This window comes from Homo sapiens, chromosome 2 (assembly GCF_000001405.40).
Source record: "Homo sapiens chromosome 2, GRCh38.p14 Primary Assembly".
Taxonomy (NCBI): Eukaryota; Metazoa; Chordata; class Mammalia; order Primates; family Hominidae; genus Homo; species Homo sapiens.
Genome location: NC_000002.12, coordinates 216,081,595 through 216,103,281, shown reverse-complemented (window position 1 = coordinate 216,103,281; position 21,687 = coordinate 216,081,595). Strand labels below are relative to the sequence as shown.

At 44.2% G+C, this 21,687-nt stretch overlaps 2 protein-coding genes across 11 annotated transcripts in view, besides 2 other annotated features; one reads left to right on the top strand and one right to left on the bottom strand.

The window, feature by feature from the left end:
* Positions 1 to 498: 498 nt before the first annotated feature.
* On the bottom strand, positions 499 to 21,363 carry TMEM169 (transmembrane protein 169). 5 transcript variants are annotated; one of them, NM_001142310.2, is made up of 4 exons: positions 21,303 to 21,363; positions 21,050 to 21,135; positions 7,048 to 7,444; positions 499 to 3,362 (listed from the first exon to the last, which is right to left on the bottom strand). In NM_001142310.2, the coding sequence occupies exons 3-4, from the start codon at positions 7,316 to 7,318 to the stop codon at positions 2,740 to 2,742; spliced, it is 894 nt and encodes a 297-aa protein (NP_001135782.1). In that variant the 5' UTR covers positions 7,319 to 7,444; positions 21,050 to 21,135; positions 21,303 to 21,363; the 3' UTR covers positions 499 to 2,739. The 5 variants fall into 5 exon arrangements, with proteins under 5 accessions (NP_001135782.1, XP_011510475.1, NP_001135783.1 ...); XM_011512173.3 differs by having other exon boundaries at positions 20,710 to 21,363; NM_001142311.2 differs by lacking the exon at positions 21,050 to 21,135.
* Positions 18,518 to 18,587: an enhancer, noted in NCBI's record as "active region_17088". NCBI's record gives its function as "activates an Ori minimal core promoter by ATAC-STARR-seq in GM12878 lymphoblastoid cells {active_cell/tissue: GM12878}" and the evidence as "EXISTENCE:reporter gene assay evidence [ECO:0000049][PMID:35858748]".
* Positions 21,262 to 21,521: a silencer, noted in NCBI's record as "silent region_12303". NCBI's record gives its function as "represses an Ori minimal core promoter by ATAC-STARR-seq in GM12878 lymphoblastoid cells {active_cell/tissue: GM12878}" and the evidence as "EXISTENCE:reporter gene assay evidence [ECO:0000049][PMID:35858748]".
* Positions 21,473 to 21,687, top strand: part of PECR (peroxisomal trans-2-enoyl-CoA reductase) — a 52,722-nt gene continuing 52,507 nt past the window's right edge. For all 6 annotated transcript variants that reach the window (XR_007078553.1, XR_007078552.1, XR_001738847.3 and 3 more), the window contains exon 1: positions 21,473 to 21,664. Coding sequence is in view for 3 of the 6 variants with exons in the window: in XM_047445107.1 (XP_047301063.1) it covers positions 21,484 to 21,664 (181 nt within the window). In the remaining 3 variants the exon portion in view is untranslated. The remainder of the gene's footprint in view (positions 21,665 to 21,687) is intronic.

Below are 21,687 nucleotides of genomic sequence, written 5' to 3'. Positions count from 1 at the left end.
GAGCAAAAATGAGATGCTTTGGTTCTGTTTGGTTCTGTTTTTCCTTCCTCTAGTCTAGGCTTTTACATACCTCTATAGAACCCCTTTGAAATGGTTTTAATTTACAAGCCTATTTCTTCCACTAGATGATGAGCCCAACTAGGATGAAGGCCATGTCAACTTTATCTAGGTATCTCTTGGGTATGATCTCATCATCATCCCACACTCTTCCATGGCACCACAGCCACTTTACCTGTGTCCTAATCACAACTTTTTGGCTTTTCCCATTGGTTTCCCCAACCCCAGAAAAATGGGACAAATGTGGTTGCAAGTTTCTAGTGTGGTTTGTGAAAACAGTCCACCTAAATAGAATTCCCCAAAATTAGTGAAGCATGGAAAGAGTCCAGACACAAGGATTCATATTAAAATCATTACATACATATAGGACAGCCATCATGCTCACCCTTTTTCTGCAAACCATAGCATTCAAAGCAATTTTGAAGAGCCTCAAAGACAAAATGAGCAAAAGTTAATCAGACTTTATTTTTATTTTCTTTGTCTTCATTTAATTGTTCATATCTCTGCTAATGCACCATAGAGCACCAAGATTAACACTAAAACTGTTGGGCACTTTTTTTTTCTTGTCAAGCTAATAATAGTTATTTAAAAAAAAAAAAAAGAGAGAGTTCCTCTGAAGGTGGAGCTCAGCACCATACATCAGGCAAATGTCCTGGGCTCTCTGTGGGGAGCATGACAAACTCCTCTGGTTTGATTCATCGCAGCAGTTCTCTCAACAGCTTTGTTTTGAGACATGAACAAGAAAAGAGCACCAGCTATTCTTATAAGGACCCAAATCTCCAAATTCTGCTGACCTCTTAGGAGTTGATATTTTGAAATTAGAAGGACACCCTTAGGAGTGATTTTTTTTTTTAAGTTCAGAGTCTGTTAATCTGTATTAATCTAGTTTACACTCCCTACAGGCCAGGTAGACACAAGTTTCTCAGCACAGCAAAGATCATGTCTGTGGTTAAACTCAGAAAGGTCTGAGGGAGTAAAGCTCTGAGTGAGGTTTTGCCAAACAACAGAAGGCTAAATCTGGCTTCTTTGTACTTAGGGCTACTGATCGCTGTTGGAGGAAACTTTGGCAGATGCAATTCCTCCCTTCCTGGTCTTTAATCTAGGTTAAATATCACCACCTCGTCCCACCTCCACCACCAGGACAAAGAGTTATGCTACTATTATAAATTGTACTCTCCTGTCCACTATTCCTTTCCAAAAACAAATCACATGACATTACAGAAGCTTAATTGCAAAGTACGTGAGGTGCTAATATCGATGTATAGCATATTCAAAGTATATGTAGCTAATATCTATATATAAATTCTCTGTGTAAGATTCAGGCCTAAATAAATAAATGAATAAACAAATGAATGAATAAATAAATAAATAAAACCATATTAGCAGTTTGGGGGTTCTGAATGTATTTAAATGATCATTGTGAGGCAAAGATTCTGACTTGCCTACCAAGATAACCATTCTTGCCTACAATCCCAGCATTTTGGGAGGCCGAGGCAGGCGGATCACCTGAGGTCAGGAGTTCAAGACCAGCCTGGGCACATGGTGAAACCCCATCTCTACTAAAAAAAAAATACAAAAATTAGCCGGGTATGGTGGCACGCACCTGTAATCCCAGCTACTGGGGAGGCCAAGGCACAAGAATTGCTTGAACCCAGGAGGCGAAGGTTGCAGTGAGCCGAGATAGTGCCACTGCACTCCAGCCTCGGCAACAGAGTGAGACTCCGTCTCTAAAGCGAAACAAAACAAAACAAAACAAAACCCAAATAACCATTCTTCCTTTTTCTTGCCAATTAGCGTGAACCCAGTATTTAGCTGAGAATATAGCTACCCAGCCAAACAACTACATTTCCAGCCTCTTTTGCTCATGACATCATGTGACTGAGGTCTTGCCAATGAGATATAAGAAGAATCGAGTGGGACTTCTGGGAAGTCTCCTTGAACAGGAAGGGTGTGTGCTTCTCTGCCCTTTCCTCTATTTTATCAGAAACATGGATGTGATGGCTGAAGATGTAATCAGCACTGGGATGTTGGGGATAAGGGTGAGAAGGGTCACATCCTACTAATGGTAGAGAAATAGAAGAAGCCTGGGACCTGGATTACTTCACAGGGTCCCAGGATGGTCTGCCTCCAGACTTCTTCTGCACAAGAAAGAAATACACTTCTATCTTGTTTAAGCCACTGATATTTTAGGGTTTTAATTCTATGCAGCTAAATCTAAATCTAAATGATACACACAAATCTTTACCTTCTGCTACACTGTGGTAGTCCAGCTTCCTAAATGTCTCACTCCATCCCTGTCTATTATCTTGGTGGATTTGGTTACCCCGAGGTTCTTTATTCTCCCTGACACATTTAGTCACATACTCCCCTCAGTTCCAGGCACCAGTAACACTTCCAGGCTCCCAAAACGACACACAGCAGAGTTCCATTGTCCTAAATAAATGGTGATTTTAGGGCAGGGAATCAAAAAGAGTTTGTCCATTGGGTGAACTGCTTTGGCACAATTGCTTGTCTGCTCCATGCCCTCCTGGAACCCTCAAGATGGTAAAACTGATCAGTATGGACTCTGATTTCCCAGAAGAACTGCGGAGAGTAGGGGGTAATTTAAAGAAATAATCTGCTGGAATTTTAAGATGATATATAGGCTACTGGGGCCAGAGGAGGGAGTAAGTTGTTGGGAGTTTAGACCGTGGAGGTTTCTACTTCTTGGATGGGGTCCTTGTTGGAGAGAGTGCTTGAGATATTGTCGGATTCAAGCAACTCCACAATGCTGTAGGGAGAACAGTCCTCCAGACCCAGCTTGCTGCAGAGCCAGCCACAGAAGCCTTTCTCCATGTCCCGGGCAGCTTGCCACCATGCTTCCCAGGACCACGAGAGCTGGACCACAGCAGCGTAGAGGCCGAGGGAAGAAGCCATGGCCATGATGAGCACTGGATAGAAGAGAACGAGGCAAGGGCAATACGAGATCTTGTGCCAGAAGGTCCTTTCCTCATTATACACGAGGAAGATGTTGTACCAGGTGATAGTGCCGTAGTAGAAAGAGACAACAAAAGAAAGGATGAAAACCACAGGCAGGCAGATCAGCGTCCAGAGGACCACATGGGGCCCACGGTCAGCTCCCATCTGGCAGGCCATTCTTCCTTCAGGCGTCGTTTCCCTTGATGACTCTTTAGGTTTGGTCAGTTCCTGCAGCTCTTTCTCTGTCAATGTGACATGGATGTCCACCATCTGACCCTTTTTCTTCCCTCGTGTGATGGTCCCAGTTAAGGTGACGTAGCGGCTGTCCAGAGGCAGGTTCCACATATCTGCAGGGTACAAAGGAGGTGAGAGTCAAGATCAGAAGAGTGGGCATTGCATCTCCATGTTGCACCCTCCCAGGCTGGGCATGAGGACAAGAGTAGCCTTTTTTACACCATCTGGCACAGTCCTGAGTCAGTGATTCAATGGCGGACTGAGTGGGTCTCCCTCGGGAGAGTGACCACTGGTGTTATTGCTCCCACATGAACTCTCAGTCCTTGTGCCTGGGCCCTGATAAAATTGTGAGGCAGGTTAAGCTTTTCACCTACTCTCTCCGCTTTTTGGGGCCTCAATCTTGGCACAATCTCTGTGGCACGGAGGAGTGTGACGAACTTTGATACAGACATGATGCAAATGATGATCCTATTTCTAGGTAACAAGTGCTGTGAAGATACTGGACTGATGGACGGCCACCACCTTCCCTTCTCATGCCTAGTTCTGTGCTTTCTGAGAGGGGGCCCCTCACATGCCTGATCCAGCCCTCACATCCAGGGGCTGCACGCATACACACATGCATCCCACATATACCATACACATACACCCTCTCACATACTACATACACACCATACACACACATACACATGCCACCTCCCAATCACGTACCACATACACACACTACACTATCCCATACACACACCACACACCACACACCATGCACATCACACATACCACATACACACCACATACCCACACCACATATACCAAACACCATACATAACACATACACCACACACATGCCACACACAACCTCCCCACACATACCACATACAACACATACACATACCATATACACACCACATACCCATACATATCACACATACATGCAACATACACACATAACACACCACACACACACATACACATCACACACACCACACATACACACAGCATACATGCACACAAATGCTGCCCCCCACACATTCCACATATATACACTACACATACCCACCCACATGCCGTATGCACACACCACATATATACACATTCTACACACACACCACATACCCATACATACCACACTACACATACCACATACATACCACGCACACATACGTACACCATATACTCCCCCATACCATACCACCCACGCCTATCCACACACACACCACACATTACACACACACACCATACGACACACACAAACAGCGCACACACCCCCACATACACCACACCCACACCGCACACCACACATACACACACACACACACACACAACGCACCCACACAGAACCAAATAGCTATCTGCTGGCCACCCTAGAAGTCTGGGTGGGGATGGGAAAATACAGCCTTTAGGCAGGCATGGACCTTGGGCCCTGTGGACTCCTTGCCCCACAACTGAGAGATAAGATGAAGCCACCTAAAGAGCAGGGCCCTGGATAGTGGCAGGGACTCTGTTTACCCAGAGAAAAGGAATGTGCAGTCTCCCAAGCCCTGTCTTTTCACAGTCTTCATCACAGCAAACACCACCACCATCTATCCTCCCTGTCATTCCAGTCAATCACCCAGGAGTCATTATTGATTCCTCTCTTTCCCTCACTCCCTGCCTCTGATCAATCAGCAAGTTCAGATTGCATCCTGAATCCAGCTTCTCTTCTCCAGCTTTCTCCTGCTATCACCCGAACTTCTCCATTAGTGCTACTGAGGCTGCAGGGACACAATAGTCTCCCATCAGCATCCAGTCTTAACCCTTATAATTCATTCTTTATAGAGAAGCCAGAGTGATCTTTTACAAATATAAACAAGATGATGTCTCTTTGCTTAAAAGTCCTCCATTGACTTCCTCTTGCACTTGAAACAAATATCAAACTCTTTACCGAGACCTGCAAGGGCCACCATGATCCAGCCTCTGCCTACCTTCCTGTCCTCCTCTCACCATCCTCCCTCTTATCTCCTACACTCCCTACACTGAAATAACTCCTTTCCATAAATGGGCCAAAGCTGCTCTCACCTCAGAGGCTTTGCCCTTGCTGTTCCACCTCCTCCAAAAACTCTGCCCTAGAACTTTTCATGGTGGCTCCCTCATGTCATTTGGATCAATTCAAATGTCACCTCCTCAGAGAAGCCTTTCACAACCATGCAGTCTCTCCCCCACCACCTTCCACCCTCCACCAGTACTCATCTTCCCATCAGCATGGTTTTGTCATCTTTAGAACTCATACTACTACCTGAAAGTATCTTTTATTTGTTGACTTGTTCACTATCTGTCTTTCCCTGAAGGTCAACTGCAGGAGAGCAGAGAAATTGCTTATCTTGTTCACTGTGAGCATATGTCTTAGAGATCTATCCATCTACACAAATAGATCTGCCTCATCTCTCTACGGCTGCACAATAATAATAATTATTATTATTTTTTCGAGATGTTGTCTTGCTCTGTCACCCAGGCTGGAGTGCAGTGGCAGGATTTCGACTTGCTGCAACCTCTGCATTCTAGAAACACAGATTCTCCACCTCCCAGGTTAAAGCAATTCTTGTGCCTCGGCCTTTGAAGTAGCTGGGACCTCAGGCATGCCCCAGCACACCCTGCTAATTTTTGTATTTTTAGTAGAGACGGGGTTTCACCATGTTGGCCAGTCTCAAACTCCTGTTGTTGGTCTCAAAGTCCTGACCCCACGTGATCTGCCTGCCTTGGCCTCACAAAGTGCTGGGATTATAGGTGTGAGCCACCGTGCCCAGCCTCCACAATAATTCTTAATACAAACACATCATGGTTGCATTAGCTTCAACAAATGTTCTTATATATGCCTCCTTATACAAGGATAACATGGGCATAAGTTTCATGGAGTAGATATTGAGAATTTCTGGGTCATGAGGTATGCATGTTTTGAACTGTGAATTTTACTAAATATTTAATAAACGTTGACAAGTTTCCTCCACAAAGTGGTTGAAGCGGCTTCCACTTTCACTAAGGTGCATGAAGTATATCCATTTGCTCATATTGATGTAATCACATTTTACCCAATTTTTGGCAAGCCTACATGTGAAGGAATACTATATCTCATTGTTGTCATAATTTGCCATATGATTTTCTTCTGGCAAATTTTCTCATAATTTTCTTTATTCATATGAAAGTCAACAATTATTGTTTATTTTACATACATTAAGTAGTTAGCATAGTCTGCTTGTGTTACCAGTTTTTGCGTATAAATCAGCCTCTTCCATTTCATTAGGAATTCTGAAAGGGTGGAGATTTCTGTATCATCTAGAAAAAAATGTAATAGGTGCTCAGTAAATACTGACCATTTGTTGAATGAAGACTGTAATATTGCACCAGGTCAGTGGCTCATGCCTATAATCCCAGCACTTTGGGAGGCTGAGGCAGGTGGATCACTTGAGGCCAGGAGTTCGAGACCAACCTGGACAACATGGTGAAACCCAGTCTCTACTAAAAATACAAAAACTAGCCCGGCATGGTGGCACATGCCTGTAGTCCCAGCTACTCAGGAGGCTGAGGCAGGAAAGTCACTTGAACCCAGAAGGTGGAAGTTGCAGTGAGGCGACATCATGCCACTGCACTCCAGCCTGGGTGACAGAACAAGACTCTGTCTCAAAATAAATAAATAAAAGGTGGTAATATTGCAAGAAGAAATGTATCACCAAGAAGAAATAGGACAGTGAGCATATGCCTGTCTGTTCTGGAAGATGCCCTTTTGGTTTCCTTCCCATGGCTTTAAACAAGTGGGCTAGAGAGACTTACCATCATCCACAGGATAGTCTAGGAAATCATCTCCCTCCTCCTCTTTAGGCTGATCTCCACCTTCTGATTCTCCGGGCTCCTCATCTGTTTTCTCATTGTCTGAGCGGTAGATGATGATGGATTCTGGGCGTGACTCTTTCCTCTTCTTTTTCCTGTGCCCCATTGTGGATTCCCCATCCAGCGCCAGGGCAGCAGCCACAGCCTTCCTGAGAGAGCCCTGGTGGGGGCTTGGAAGCTGGACCTGGCCTTCTACTGCTGTTGGCTCTTCCATTCCAGACCTGACGTCTACCTATGTCTTATAAAGAGTTGGACTTGTTTGAGTAAACTCACAGTTCACACATCACAGAACTTCTTCCTAGATGGGGCTATGCAAAGATGTCCCAAGGATGCATTCCACCTGAAAGATAGGAAAGCAAAGCCATCAACAGGAAGCAAATGGGGTGAGATGGACAGGAATGTGGGAAACGATCCTCAACTTAGCAGAAGCCTTCCTCTCCCTTTACTTCTTGCAATACTTTATTTTGGGAATGCAATCTAAATCTCTTATAATAGACAGTGAATAAACTTTTGCTACAGTAATATTTTTGTCATTTATACAAACATATAATATTTGGCAAAACCCATGTGAAGGAATACTATATCTCATTGTTGTCATAATTTGCATTTTCCTTATTCATATGAAAGTCAACAATTATTGTTTCTTTATTTTATATACATAAGTAGTTAGCATAGTCTGCTTGTGTTACCGATTTTTGTGTATAAATCAGCCTCTAGTTGGAGCATGCAGAGTATAAGGAAGTTGGGTGAGGAAGCCTTACCAGTAGGTGAGAGTTAAGAACCACAGGTAGGCTGGGCACAGTGGTTCACGCATATAATCCCAGCACTTTGAGAGGCCGAGGCGGGTGGATCACCTGAGGTCAGGAGTTTGAGACCAGCCTGGCCAACATGGCAAAACCCCATCTCTACTAAAAATACAAAAATTAGCTGGTTGTAGTGGTGGGTGCCTGTAATCCCAGCTACTTAGGAGGCTGAGGCAGGAAAATTGCTTGAGCCTGGTGAGCTGAGATTGTACCACTGCACTCCAGCCTGGGTGACGGAGCGAGACTCTGTCAAAAAAAAAAAAAAGAAAGAAAAAAGAACCATAGGTGGCTGGGACCAGTATTCCAGACTTCTGGCTATTGAATCATACATTAAAACTATACTCAAATGGATAAATACAACATTAAGCAAGCCACTCAAATGGTACAACCTCACCAACTGTGTCTACCTTGCTATTCTGTAAAGGAAATCTGTCTCCTGGCTTCTTGTCAGCCCACAATCTCAAAAAGTTACTGGGATGTGTCCTATCACGTGCTGCAAGAGCGGTGGAGAGGCTTCACTTTCCCCCTTAAAATAACAGTGTCTCTCCACTTTCTGTTCTGGACAGTGCAGGTCTGTATATCTGTCCTTCATTTTTTTTTCCTGGTAACTTATTTGTTAAAGAAAGCGGGTCATTTATCTTGCAGATTCTCATAGCCTGGGTTTTGCTGATTGCATCCCCACAGTGTGTTCCTCTGAACTCTGTGTTATGAGTTGATAGCTAAATAGAAAGTCTTGATCAATTTCACATTGAAATTTTTTTGGTTGATGGTTTGTTTTGTTTGGCAGGACAATTTTAGAGGTGGTGTTTGTACTTCCATTAGAAGTCCCCTAATGTCTGGTTGACTCTTTTTGTGAAGTTAACAGCCCGTTAATGGCCATTGACTATACCCATTAAATCATGGGGGTTACAAAATGATATTCCATTTCTCTGACTTCTTCATTTATTAGCTAGAATACTCTCATGCACTTTTAACATACCCAGTTTTAATCCTAGTGAAAGAGGCAAATGGTCCTGCTGTTATGCAATATTATTGGCATTTATACTGTGAAAAATAACTTATGAACTATAGTGGTACCCGCTATGGATATAAAAAGTTTCCAAGCGATTTACCAAAAAATTCCCCACTTTTCAAATAACTGTGCATATTATTCAGAATCGCAAGCTTCTACTCACAACCCTGCCGCCCCACACTCCTCGAGGCTGTACACTCTTCAGCAACTCCAGGTTACTGGCTGTTACTTTTGTTCCCAACTCCCAAATCCCTCACTGTATTTCAGTGCTCTCTGAGCCTTATTTTACTGCCACATGTACACCATTTGCCATCCCTTTATTTCCAATAATAAAGCTTCTTCTCTCATGTGTATTCAAATGTTCCCAATGTCTAGTGTTCTGGCCCAGTGGATGGGAGTGGGGCAGTGGAGAGAAGAAAGAAGCAAAAATTCCACTAGGCTCTAGAATTCCACTAGGCTCCATTCATTTTGAAGCAAATTTATATATCTTTGGTAATTACCATGTGACAGGAAGTACTGTATAGCATATCTCTTAAAATGCCAGAATACATATTTTTTTTTCTCATTTCAATGTTTCTAAAATTTAGGTAAATTTTAAGCTCAATGGAATGGCTTTTTCTCCCCCTCCAGGCAGGGGAGTTCTCCTCTGCTGCCCTCTCACCCAGTATTTCCTCTAGCCTCTGTTGATTTTCTTTGTCTTTCCATTGGATTGGCAGATGTTGGATCTAAATTAACTTTATAACTGGGCACTTAACCCAATGCCTGGAATAAATCAGGCACCCAGCGACACAATTGAGAATCTTAGTGGTAGGATCCACAGGATGAAATGGGCAGGTTTCACTACGTCCTCACTGCCTGACTTTGTCTAGGGGGTGTACTAGGGGCAGAATGAAAGCCATTATCTTTAAATTCTTATCCATGGAGCTTTCTGGACCAGGAGATTCATTTGGCTGAGGTGTCTAAAAGTACAAGGATGTACACAGGAAGAAGCAGGGGAGAGAGCCCTCCCAAGGTAAATAGCTCCAGAGGACAATTAATCCAACCATTAGAATGCTGAGCAGGCCTTGGGCATTGATGAGCTTGACCAGGGCTCTTCTACCAAAGTGGCTTCTACACAGAGGACAGTGGACCTCTACCCAGAGGAAACTGAATGGGGAGGCTGAATGCAATCCACCCCCAGGTGAAGATTTTATATGTATACACACACACACACACACACACACACACACACACACACTTCATTATTACGTTAAGTTCCAGGATATACATATATATGTATATCTATATATGTACTTATACATATGTATATTTATATACAAATGTGTATATACATACATTTGTAATTCTACTCTCTAAGTGTCTATGTTTAATACAAAAATGTTTTCCCTGGTCCAAGTCCTCTTATACACTGACACTCAGAAAGCTGCATCATGGTAATTCTATGGTAGGAATGACCTCTGAACAAACCACTTTGTACTTACTTGAAGGTGCAATGATCACAGCTTGGGAGGCCACCCTAATCCACCGTGTTTTCCTACTTAGATCATCTGTTTCTCTCTGTTGTTTTCTGAGGCAGCTTGTGAAGGGCCTTCTTTGGCCCTTCTATACAGCATGAATTTTCAAACTAGGGGTTGAGACCCCGAGGAGATTAAAGGACCAGAGCTTCAGAGCTGGGAGAAGGTTTATGTTCTGTACTCCTTACTCCTTCTTTAAAGATGTACCAAGATGTTCAGAAGGGAGACAGAAATGTTAAAGAGTACACGTGAGAAGGCAAGTTGCAAATCTCATACTTCTTGTTCCCTTTTCCTCTCTCTTTGTTGAGGGGGTGGTGCTCTAGGAAGATGTGGCAGGGCAAAGTGAACACATGCATGGAGATGATGACCCTTATTAATGGGCCTTATAAACATTAAAAAGTGGCCAAGTGCGGTGGCTCATGCCTGTAATCCCAGCACTTTGGGAGATCAAGGCGGGCGAATCACTCAAAAAAAGAATTAATTTAATTAAAAAAAAACATAAAAAGGTGTAGTGTTCGACACTCTTGATTTGGTTGGGCACAATGGGAGAGGCCAATGTTAGATAACAGGAAGAGCTTCCTGAGCCCAGGGACAGACTAGTACAGAAAATAGTAGCTAAGAGAAGCTTTGGAGTCTCTTGGGGATATAAAAGATAAACATGGTCATCTTGTTGGCTGATGGAGGAGAGGGACAATCCTATCAGAGGCAAAAAGAGAGATGACTTTTGAACATCCCATTAAAACCTTAGACAAGAAATATGAAATGTAAAGGGTGAGCTCCTGGCTATTCACCTTAGGGGGGCTATTTTTGCTTCAGGCACAGCTCATTTTAGAAAGGTGCCCAGCCAATGTCTACTTACAGTAGTCACAGGACAGAGACACTGTCCTTGATTTACCTTGAAACATGATTTCCTCATCTCCCTACAATTAGAACACTATCCTTTGAGACTACAAAACATTCCCACAAACTTAGGAAAAGATGGGTTATTTTGTAGTCATGGTAAGTAGACAATAGAACCAGTTTTAAACCTGTTCAATTGATCAACAACAATCTCCCTCAGTGTCTTAGTGCATTTGGGCTGCCATAAGAAAATACCATAGACTAGGTAGCTTATAAACAACAAGAATTTATTTTGTACAGTTCTGGGAGCAAAAAATCCAAGATCAAGTTTAGGGGTTTGGTAGGACTCACTTTCTGGTTCATAGATGGTGCCTTCTCACTGTGTTTTCACGTGGCTGAAGGAGCTGACTAGCTCTCTGGGTCTCTCTCTTTTTTTTTTTTTTTTTTTTTTTGAGATGGAGTCTCACTCTGTCGCATAGGCTGGAGTGCAGTGGCGCAATCTTGGCTCACTGCAACCTCTGCCTCCCAAGTTCAAGCAATTCTCCTGCCTCAGCCTCCCAATTAGCTGGGACTACAGGCACACGCCACCATGCCCAGCTAATTTTTGTATTTTTAGTAGAGATGGGGTTTCGCCATATTGGCCAGGCTGCTCTCAAACTCATGATCCGCCCGCCTTGGCCTTCCAAAGTGCTGGGATTACAGGTGTGAGCCACTGAGCCTAGCCTCTGGGTCTCTTTTATGGGGGCACTAATCCCATTCCTGAGGACTCCACCGTCATGACATAAAGCCTCACCTAATGCCATCACTTTGGGGGCTGAAATTTCAACATATGGATTTGGGGGGAAAACAAACCATACCATAACACTCAGCAAACATGTTTTTGGAAATTAACCCATCCAGTCAGTCCTTTGTTTCTGAAAGTCAATCAGGTGAGTGGCTCTGTCCCTGTTTGGCTGACTTTCACACTAGTGTGAGTTGACTTTTGGCCAATCAGGGTCTGGCACTCTGATGATGGCTTTCAAAAATGTATTCACTTAGGCAGTTGTTGATTGAACATGTTTAAAACTAGTTCTGGTGGCTACTTGTTATCAAGGCTACTGTAAAAACAGTGTTTTCCTAAATTTGGGGATCCTTTTTACTGTTAGTTTCCTGCAAGTCTGGAATATATCAGATGTCACAGTACAAGAATATGAATTATCTGTTGTGATGTAACAAATTACCCAAGAAGTAAAGGTTTAAAACAATAAAAAAGTTATTATCTCACACAATTATGTGCGTCAATAAACTGGGAGTGCCTTAGCTGGGTGGTGAGTAGTCTTCTCTACCTGCTTCCTGCCTATAGAATTTGGAGGTCCAAAAGTGTTTTTTTGTTTTTATGGTTTCTGAACCTTTTAGTATTCTGTGAATAGAATTTTCTCAACATTTCTGTGGGATTCCTATAAATAGTTTCTCTGAGTCAGAAGTGTGAGAGTGGCTTAGCTGGTTTTGTTTCAAGATCTCTAAAGATGTCAGGGCTGCAGTCATCTGAAGGCTTGAATGAGGCTAGATCTGCTTCCAAGATGGTTCACTCATGTAATGCTGACTCAGTTTCTCTCCACATGGGCCTCTCCATGGGCCATCTGAGTGTCCTTACAACAGTGGCTGGCCTTCCCCAGCATGAGTGGTCTGAAAACAGGTATTTTCTTTGACCACCCCAACTTGACTCTTGATCCCCATCTCTTCCTCATCTTTGATTTCCTCCTTCTCCAATAGCTCCAACTTCCTTCTACTGGCTCTTTCCCCTTTGCCTTCAAACTCAGAGTTCCTTATCTAGAAAAAAATAACTTTACCTTGCCACTTTACTCTCTCTGATAATCTCATTTTTCTCCAACCAAGCTTTTCTATCAAATAGTTTATAGCCACTCATATCCAGTTCATCCTGCAATCTTCTGCCCTTTCTCCCCACTCCCAACCTCTGTACACACACAGACACACACACATGCACGCACGCACACGCGCAAGTCACTTGCAAAGATGAGAAATAGGCCAGGAAATTAGCATTTATTGAGCCTTATGTGTCAGGCTGTAAGGTAAACTCTTTATAGATGTTCTCTTACTTGCATCTCTCAACAAGCTTGACAGGTAGGTCTTATTTTCCACACTTGACCTATTAGGTTCAATGCGTTAAATATAGCAGTGAGAGAACTTGGGTTTAATTCTATACTTGCATAACTCTAAAGTCCAGGATTTCCCCACCAAGATTTAGAAGAAGTCAAGGCCAGGTGTGGTGGCTCATGCCCGTAATCCCAGCATTTTGGAAGGGCAAGATGGGCGGATCACTTGAGGTCAGGAATTCAAGACCAGCCTGGCCAACATGGTGAAACCCTGTCTCTACTAAAAATACAAGTAGCTTGGCGTGGTTGTGCACGCCTGTAATCCCAGCTACTCAGGAGGCTGAGGCAGGAGAATCGCTTGAACCTGGGAGGTGGAGGTTGCAGTGAGCTGAGATCGTGCCACTGCATCCAGTCTGGGCGAGAGAGTGAGACTCTGTCTCAAAAATAAAATCAGTAAAATAAAATAAAATGAAAATTAAAAATAGAAGTAGTCAAGTGGTAGTAGCTGCAGTGAACAGCTGATGGTTTTTGGTTTTTTGGTTCTGTTGTTTGCTGTCCAAAACCCTATTTCTCCTTCATTTGATGACAGATCCACTCATTTTGGTGAGAAACAGTCTTGAAAGTCCCTGATGTGATCACAGTGACCACTTCACCATTCTTATTCTCCTTGTCACACCAAAGCTGTTGATTCCACTAATTCCCAAATCTTTCTTGAACCTTCCCTCACCTCCTTTAACTTTCTACTCTCATTCTCTTTTACCTCTCAAACCTTCCTTCTGTTTCTTTTGCTCCCTTATCTGCTTTCTCCAACCCATAATTGCCAGTGTTTTCTAGGCCCGATTCTTAATTCATTGTCCTCTATTCTCAACAGCACACTCTGTTCCTCTTGTTAAAATATACAGCCTTCCTGCACACAGCTGTAGGACCACTTCTATGCCAAGAACGCCCAAATGTAGATCTCAAGATTGTATCTCCAATAGCCTGGCGAATATTTTCTAATTGAATTATTTAGCAAAGCATGTTCAAACCAAACTCATCTTTATTTACAGCAGAGAACCTCTCAGTGTTACCGAGAAAAAAGGAGAAGGGGGAAAGGAAAGGAGAAAGGGATAAAGAAGGAAACACCACAACATTTATGGAATTTACCGATTGTGTAATTTGGTAGGTTCTGTGTTGATTATACAGTACATGCATTATCTCACTGAATTACACATTCAAAAAATATTTACGTATTCATTTATTTTTAGAGATGGGGTCTTTCTATGTTGCCCAGGCTTGACTTGAACTCCTAGGCTCAAGCAATCCTCTCACCTCAGCCTCCTGAGTAGCTGGGACTACAGTCATGTGCAACTGTGCCCAGCTTCAGTAAATATTTATTAAGCAACACTATGTGCTATATATTGCATAGTTGTTCTAGGTACAACAATTTTTGTCTGTTTGTTTGTTTGTTTTGAGACGGAGTCTCGCTCTGTCGCCCAAGCTGGAGTGTAGTGGCGTGATCTCAGCCCACTGCAAGCTCCGCCTCCCGGGTTCACGCCATTCTCCTGCCTCAGCCTCTTGAGTAGCTGGGACTACAGGCGCCCACCACCACGCCCGGCTAATTTTTTGTATTTCTTTTTTAGTAGAGACGGGGTTTCACCGTGTTAGCCAGGATGGTCTCGATCTCCTGACCTTGTGATCTGCCCGCCTCGGTCTCCCAAAGTGCTGGGATTACAGGCGTGAGCCACTGCACCCGGCCTGTTTGTTTTTTTTTTTTTTGAGACAGAGTCTCGCTTGGTCACCCAGGCTGGAGTGCAGTTGTGCAATGTCAGCTCACTGCAACCTCAGCCTCCAGGTTCAAGCGATTTTCGTGCCTCTGCCTCCTGAGTAGCTGGGACCACAGGCATACACCACCATGTGCAATTAATTTTTGTACTTTTAGTACAGACAGGGTTTCACCATGTTGGCCAGGCTAGTCTCCAACTCCTGACCTCAAGTGATCCATCTGCCTCGGCCTCCCAAAGTGCTGGGATTACAGGTGTGAGCCACCATACCAGCCTAGGTACAACAATTTTATGAAGCAAGTATTATTTTGCAGAAGAGGACACTTGGACTGAATAATAGTAACAACAGAAACTTATTGGATGTTTATTGTGTGCCAAGTGCTGCTCTAAGTACTTTACAATAATCGTATTGTTCAATATTCACAGCAAACCAGTGAAGTAGGTACCTTTATTATTCCCATTTAGAGGAGAAATTTGCTCAAGCTTACATAGCTAGTATAGTGGTGGGACTGGAACTGACACCCAGGTTTGCTAATTTCAAAGCCCATGTTATTTTCATTGTGCCATACTACCCGCCAACATTTATGCAAAGATCTATAAACTTCTAGAATGTTCTTTGATGAACCCATTTCCTATATTAAGGACATATTTCCATATACCTAATAATAATTAGTCTCTAAGTCCTGCTAGTCATTCCTATGAAATCTTTTTGTTAATTTGTTCATTTGAATTTCTACTACCACCATATGCCAGAATACAGCCTTCATACTACTTCCTCTAAACTGGAAGACATTCTAAAATGGAAGACATTCCTCTACCATTTTTTACCATATTAATGGTGATTAATAAACAAAACAAAACAATATTTTTATTTTGTCTTGCCATTACTGACTAAAATATATCTGAAGGCCTGTCTGGTGTTTGAGGCTCTCCGTATTTGCACCCCACCCTAGGATTCAGTAGCAATTTTCCCCTTCCCTTTCCTGCAACGTGACTACTCAACACATGTGCTTATGTTGGTTTCTTCATCTTTGTCACGCTTCTCCACATCTTTCAAGCCTGGCTCAAGACAGACTCATTCGCTCACGTCCCCTTCTGTGACTACCCCAGCCCCCACGTCCTCTCCTCCCACCCTAACCCTGTGTTGCAGGTGTGTGGTGAGAATTCAATGAATGGCCCAGTATAAAATGCCTAATATGTGACTGACACTTCATAAATATTAGTTTCTATTCCCTTTCTTTTGCCTCCTTCTATTTGTAATTTAATAGCATTTGCCATCTGAACCATACACTTAATACTTAATTATGCAGCATTTCATATCATTGTATAGATTATAGATGGCATCATGAGTTTTCATTCATCTTTCTAGGTAGATAACAAACTTCTAGAGTTTAGGAACTGTCTTACTCTTCTTCTTAACCACCAATGGGAAAACCCCAGGGCTGGACATGTAGTACAAAGTCAGTATGTACTTGTTGACTTCATAGGACACAGAAGAGAAAATGTCTTACCAGAAATATGACATAAACAACTGTTAAGAAAGAAAGGCTTGATTCTCTTCCCCATTTTTGTATACTTTATTATGCTGTAAGTATTTGATCTGAGAAGCAGGTTCTAAACATTTCTCCTTCCTTTTAGATTTCACAAGAGAGAGGTTAAAAGAAAATTTTACCCAATTTCCAAGGCTTTAATCAATAGACTTGAGAGAAGAGAGAGGACTTTGTTCTTTTCTCTGGCAGTTAAGCTGTGCCCATCTTCCACTTCCACTTCCAGTCTAAAGATTATTAACAGGCTGGTCACGGTGGCTCATGCCTGTAATTCCAGCACTTAGGGAGGCCGAGGCAGGTGGATCACTTGAGATCAGGAGTTTGAGACCAACTTGGCCAACATGGTGAAACCCCCTCTACTAAAAATACAAAAATTAGCCAGGCATGGTGGCACACACCTGTAATCTCAGCTACTCCGGAGGCTGAGGTAGGAGAATCGCTTGAACCCGGGAGGCAGAGGTTGCAGTGAGCCAAGATCACACCACCGCACTCCAGCCGGGGCAACAGAGTGAGACTCTGCCTCAGAAAAAAAAAAAGATTCTTACAAATGTGATATTACAGAGTGTTAGCTTCAATCAACCATTAGCTCTGTACTCTTGGTCATTGTAGGAGGGAAAACAGGTTTTTAAGAACATGCTCATACTCTGGAACTCGTGCTTAGAATAACTGCTTTTAAGCCACTCTTGAAAAAAATTATCCAGATAATTCTTTTTTTGTTTTTGTTTTTTTTTTTTGAGATGGAGTTTCACTCTTGTTGCCTTGGCTGGAGTGCAATGGCGTGATCTCAGCTCACCACAACTTCTGCCTCCTGGGTTTAAGCGATTCTCCTGCCTCAGCCTTCTGAGAAGCTGGGATTACAGGCATGCACAACCATGCCCAGTTAATTTTGTATTTTTTAGTAGAGAAGGGGTTTCTCCATGTTGGTCAGGCTGGTCTCGAACTCCCAACCTCAGGTGATCCGCCCGCCTTGGCCTCCCAAAGTGCTGGGATTACAGGCGTGAGCCACTGCTCCCGGCCCAGATAATTCTTAAATTCATCCACCCAACTTTCCCATCTCCACTGCTTCCCCTCTGGTCTAGGAGGCCACTGTCTCTTAACTGTGGTTCTAAAAAAAATGCTCCTATCTTCCAGCTTCCACTCTTGCTGCCTTCCAATCAATTCCTCACTCAGCAGTAAGCAACATCTTTTACTTAATTTTTTTAATTTTTTGAGACAGAGTCTCACTCTGTCACCCAGGCTGGACTGCAGTGGCACAATCTCAGCTTCCTGCAACCCCCACCTCCCCCACCTGATTCTCCTACCGAGTAGATGAGATTACAGGCGTGTGCCACCACACCCGGCTAATTTTTGTATTTTTAGTAGAGATGGGGTTTCACCTCCCAAAGTGCTGGGATTCCAGGCATGAGCCACCCAGCCAGAAACATCTTTTTAAAACATAAAGAAAATCAGATGGTCAGGCGTGGCAGCGCGCACCTGTCGTCTCAGCTTCTCGGAAGGCTGAGGCAGGAGAATTGTTTGAACCTGGGAGGCAGAGGCTGCAGTGAGCCGAGATCGCTGCCACTGCACTCCAGCCTGGGATACAGAGCCAGACTCCATGTCAAATAAATAAATAAAAATAAAAAAGAAAATCAGGCTGTTTTCTGCTTAAAATCCTCCTGTAACTTCCTACTGTTATACATGTGGAAGTCCATGTGGCCTAAGGACCTCCCCATCCTGCCACCCCATCTGTACCACCATAGTAGGGGTACTATGCTCCAATCACACTGGCTGTGTATTTCTTCCTCAAGAGCACCAAATGCTTCCAAATGCTTGAGGTCTTCTTAACTGCTGTCTATCTTGCTGCTCTGCTGCTCCACCCCGCCTCTTCCTGTGCCCGTTTTTGTTTTTTTGAGTCCTTGTTCAAATGTTTCCTCCTCTGAGCCCTTCTTGACACCCGAACTAAAAACTTGACTCCCTGCTCTGCCTCTCATTATTCTTTATCACAACAGCTTGTTTCCTGTGTAAGGCTTACCAACATTTGTCATTATTTATTTTTCTTTTACTTATTTATTGCATAGCTCTTCTACTAGACTTCAAGCCCTATGAAGTGGTACCATAGAAGTAGGCCAACAAATAGATGCTCGATAAATCTTTTTAAGTGACTGGGTGAAGTGGTAGCAACTCAGGAGTAGCTTATTTTTTGTGAAAGCCTGAGACTAAGGAGAAGTTTAATAAAAAGACATCAATAAGCTCCTTTATATGCCTTGTTATGGCACAATTGCTAGGTAGTTTTGCTTCAAGGTAGGGGCAGGACCAGATGCTTCACTGACATTCTCTCAGCACTGAGATTCTGGGAGTCTAAATGTCGAGAATCCCACAAGCCCCTGTCAGTCTGAGCTAGCAGCTGCTTTGCAGAGGGGAGAAAATAAAGTTACCAGGCAGATGGGGTGGGGGAGGGGTGGGAAGCTGAAGGCAGTCATTGCTAATGGGGTATGACAGAGCTGTGGGGAGAGGTTCGGGGGTGTGGGAGGACCTTGGCCACAGGAATGCCTTTTTCCCCAGGACAAAGAGGGCAGTGACGCAGAGCACAGGGAAGAGCAGCATTTGATTCAACCAAAGGAGTGGTCAGTGCAGCATGGCGTGGTTGCCTTCGGAAGAGATGCCTCAACCAGAGGCAGAACTAAAATTTCAAAACAAAGAGCTTCCAAGCAGCAGATCTATTGCTCTGCTTCCAGGCCTTTTGGCCTGGAACTTAGCGGATTAGTGGACTTTCAAACCCTGACAGAGGTCAGAGGCAGAGGCAAAGAGATCATGCCTCCTAATTTTAAACAAAAGATCGCTTGAAGAGACCCCAAAGCTCTCTTAATTGCAGGTTCTGCCTGGATCATGAAAAATCGCCTTCTGACTGTTCATCCTGCAACTTCCTTGCAGCTGAGGAATGGCACCTTGTCATCCTCAGTAGGCATAACCGGTTTGCAGGCCCCAGTCCCTGTTTCACTGGAAGACATCAGAATCCCACTCTCAGTCCGCTCAGCAGCCACACGGAAGCTGCAGCACAGCCAGCTTCCCACTGACCCACCCTGGCACACCTCTAAGAATCTATAGGTCCAGACCAGGGCATAAATCATGTTAAGTTATATCTTCAATAAAGTTATCATTTAAAAGAATTTAAAGTGTCCCCACCCACAAGAAAGAAAGTCTGGACTTCTCTTGAATAAGATACCCCTCAGAACTGAATCAATATTTCTTTTCCTTAAAAAAAAACACCTTGTCATTGGGATCAAACCAAGAGGAGTTATATGTTTCTGCAACAACACTTTGAGCTTTCCTGTTTGAATTTACTTTGTTTTAAAGGAGGTGATGGCGTTGTAATTTTAAAAATTTGGTCCTAACTACAGAATTGACTTAAGTAGTAGAGTTAAGTGATTCCTGGATAAACTATCTAGCAAATGGTAACCAGGAGATTTATTCCTTTCTTTAACGAGTGTAGATTTGAATCTGTCAGCAACAAAGATAGAGGGAGAAGTGATTCTAAAAAGAGATCAGAGAAGGACAAGAGGATGGAGCAACAGGGAAGTGTAGCTGTCCAACAAGAACTGCAGCCTCGCTGGTGGGTGGGACCTGGTGGAGGAAGTGATGGTCTGATTCCTCTGTCAACCAGACCCATTTCCAATTGGCTTTGTGAATCCTAGGTGGTAGGTCCAACAAAAGGATGATGGCATTTATTTGCCTTTATATTATTTTAATACCTGTCCGGGGAAAATGCAACACTCTGACAACAGCCTTAGAAATAGCATCCCATCTGGATTGTTAAGACCACAGCAACTGGCACATTCGACCAAGTTCTTAGGGTGAAGTCTCAGTAGGCCAGTCCAGGTGTAATCTCACTCTGGTGGGTTCAGAGCGGGAAGCAAGATGAAAAATAAGGAGCAGATCTGAATAATAAATCACTGTTACTGGGCACCATAACACAGACGAGAAATTTTCCCCATCCTCAGCGGGCTCACCCTCCTGCACAAGGAATGAACTACAGGACATGATCTCAAACACCTACAGATGCATCTTGCAGGAAGCGTGCACCCTTCAAGGAAAGATCCTCTTCTGGACTCGCTATGCAGCTCAGCTGAAATGGATCAGGTCTCAAACCTGGTAAAGATGATCTTTCCCCTTGATTCTTGGGTGGGGAGTGGGAGGTGAGACGGAGGTGGGCCTGAGTTTATTTTTTCAAATCGTTTATTCTCTTGGTTCTGTGGAAAACTGCAACCGCATCTCCTCTTCCCCTTCACTCTCTTTCCCGGGCTCCCTCCCGAAGGATGAAAGGATCTGAAAGCCGCATTTCTCCCCCTCAGCTAAGCCTGCCCTTTCTCCCCTTCCCAGCCAGCGGCACACAGCACCTGGAGCCACAGCATCGCCGACGTCCGACCCCGGCAGGCGGGCGCAGCGAGGGCGCCGAGCAGCAGCCTTTCTTTTTCCAGCTGCACTGGAGATTTAATTTTAATTAATCGTGAGAGCTTCAGCCCTGAGGATTGAATTTTTGAAATAGAGCACACCCTGCTTGTTTCTTTCTTCTTCTTTTTTTTTTTTTGCATTTCCCTTCCACCCTCCCCAATGGCATCGAAATTTAAAGAAACGAACGAGCAGTCTCACCCACACCTGCCCAGGGACCGACGCTGGCGGAGGTTGCGGACAGCCGGCGGGGAGCGGTTCTGCTCCGGGAGGATGCGGCTTTGCCGCGGCCGGCGGGCGGGGCGGGGCCGGGCCGGGGAGGGTGCGGGGTTCTGGTGGTCACGTGGGCTCGAGCACCGCCCTGTCCGCCCGCCCGCCTCGAATGTCCCTGAGACCCAGAAGGGCCTGCGCTCAGCTGCTCTGGCACCCCGCTGCAGGGATGGCCTCCTGGGCTAAGGGCAGGAGCTACCTGGCGCCTGGTTTGCTGCAGGGCCAAGTGGCCATCGTCACCGGCGGGGCCACGGGCATCGGAAAAGCCATCGTGAAGGAGCTCCTGGAGCTGGGTACGTGAGCGGGCCGCTGGTGC

What these genes read in the sequence shown, in the direction of transcription:
- TMEM169 (XM_011512173.3), bottom strand. Translation starts at nt 7,318, where the DNA reads ATGGAAGAGCCAACAGCAGTAGAAGGCCAGGTCCAGCTTCCAAGCCCC. An exon ending in AGACTATCCTGTGGATGATG is followed by an intron (nt 3,363 to 7,047) that starts GTAAGTCTCTCT and finishes TGTACCCTGCAG; the next exon opens with ATATGTGGAACCTGCCTCTG.